The following is a 2147-nucleotide window of genomic DNA, read 5'->3' as shown; positions in this document are numbered from 1 at the left end:
AATGTTTGCTGTGATGGCTGTCCTTCATGTTTTTAATTTCTTAGCATTGGGTGAAATTATGCACTCAAAGGTAGAGATATTCACGTTTCAGAGTGAAAACATCAAATCCAAATTCCTTGGTTCAGCTTTCAAAGCCTTCATGTTTCTGGTTCCAAACTCCCTTTTATGCAAACATTTGCTCTTGTCCTCAATGTGTATCCTTGGTTCTAGTCTGCCTATTTTTTGTTTATTTCTGAGACTTTGCCTTTGCTATGATTTAGGAAAAAATCAATTGGCATGGAAATATATTCACACACACACGTATTTCAGTGAAAAAAAGCAGTGTATAAACCTCAACTCAAGCATATCCTCAACTTCGTAAAATAGAAAAATTATGTACAGCAAATATACATTTACATAATGTTTAATTATGATTATCTCTGAATGGTGTGTGGCTTTTAAAAAAATTCTTCATATATTTCGAGTATTCTACAATAAACGTGTTCAGAAAACTATATTGAAAAATTTAGTAGTTCAGGTACATATTTTATGTAGTTTTTTTAAAGAAGAGAAAGTGCCTTCAATAAAATGTGCTCTTATTCAGACTTTTCAATGGGTCATTTTTATGAATGTGATCTTCTAATTGGAGCTTAAAGGCAGGAACCTGGCATTTCTGTGATCTACTCTGAGAAAGAGTATTAACTTATTCTGTAGCCTTAAGCTCTTCACTTAACCTTTCAGCTTACCCTTTGTGAAGAGAGGATAATAGCCATTCTGCAGAACTACAATGGCAAATTAGCTTAGGTTTGTAACGTGCTTTAAAGATGAATCCCTGCCTTAAATACCTTTGTAGTTTTCAGTATTACTTAAGGAAACAATGAGGAAGGTAATTTATTATCCTATGTGTCTATGTTTCACATGGTAAGAGGAAACAGAACTTTAGTAATGTACATGGTAAAGGCTTGGAATGGAGGCAAAATAGCTTGGTGGATGAGAGCAGGCATGTTTGAAAATAAAAGTCAGAGGAAAACAGCAGAGCGTGTGTCCTTTCCCCAGTACCCATATAGTTGATTCCTATAAAAATTCTATTTATTTATTTATTTTTGAGGTTGATTGAGGATCGAGGAACCTAGGATGAGAGGGAAGACAATATTCCATGTAATGTTATTTAAAATATGAATAGGATGGGAGAAAACACACTGGAAAATTCAGAAATAATTTTAATCAAAGCCACTTCCATGTAAAGTAGCAAACTTACAGCATAATGTCACTTTAATAAGTATCTTCCTGGTGATCAAAAAAAAATTTTCCAGGTCTGACCCAACCTAAATTTAACTTAGTTGGGTATGATGATACTCTTATAATTTCTGAGACTTAAGAAAATAATAGGCTAAACTGATACTGATTAAAGTAAAATGGTTTTGAAATAACATCTAGAAGCAAATGTTACCAACTTTTATCTTTATAAATCATTTGATCATAACAAACTAAAATATATTAGAGAAAAAAATATGTTTTTAAAATCATCAAAAGTGTAGGCAAAGAAAACAGCATTATAAAATGAGGAGGTGGTGAAGGGGTAGCATTTTCCCTCTAAGGGTGGGAGGGCCTTCTTAAATACTGACAAAAGGCTCATTTAATTGTTGAAGAAAGTAGATTATGTCTTTGATTTCTTTTGAGGAACACAAAGTTCAAAATCAGTAGTGAACATGTGGTTTGCGTTGAGTTCATGTCAATGCAATTTGTTCCAGGCCTTATATCCCCAACTGTCCTGTTGCTGTCAACACCAGACTGTGAAGGAAAAAAGAGAGTCGAGAAGCTCAACCTTTCAGAAGCAGAATGTAGTACATAGGACATTATATGACCTTGCCCATGCCCTGCAGTGATACCACGTCTTCGTCTTAATCCTTATCCTTCCTAATGTCACAAGGGGACTCTTCTAATTCTGAGCAATTGCTGTGGAAGTATAAGAACTGTCAAAGGCAATTTTAATAAAGTGGATTGTCACCTTCCAGACCCTCACCCTGAGACTTAGCCAAAAACTAGCCCAGTAGTTTCACATACTCTCACCTGCACCCAAGGAAACTTGCCCTTTACAGAGGCTTAGCGAAGGTTTGTCTTGCAACTTCTGGCTCCAATTTTGTTCTTTTGAATGTTCACCTAAACCT

At 35.0% G+C, this 2147-nt stretch overlaps 1 annotated feature.

Annotated features, from left to right (window-relative positions):
* Nucleotides 487-1010: an enhancer, noted in NCBI's record as "NANOG hESC enhancer chr4:121885637-121886160 (GRCh37/hg19 assembly coordinates)". NCBI's record gives its function as "activates a minimal SCP1, AML or CMV promoter by ChIP-STARR-seq in naive H9 embryonic stem cells {active_cell/tissue: H9 hESC(naive)}" and the evidence as "EXISTENCE:reporter gene assay evidence [ECO:0000049][PMID:30033119]".

The sequence above is a fragment of the Homo sapiens genome, chromosome 4 (assembly GCF_000001405.40).
Source record: "Homo sapiens chromosome 4, GRCh38.p14 Primary Assembly".
NCBI classification, from domain to species: Eukaryota; Metazoa; Chordata; class Mammalia; order Primates; family Hominidae; genus Homo; species Homo sapiens.
Note: the sequence above shows the minus strand (reverse complement) of the source record. Positions and strands in the feature narration are given on the sequence as shown.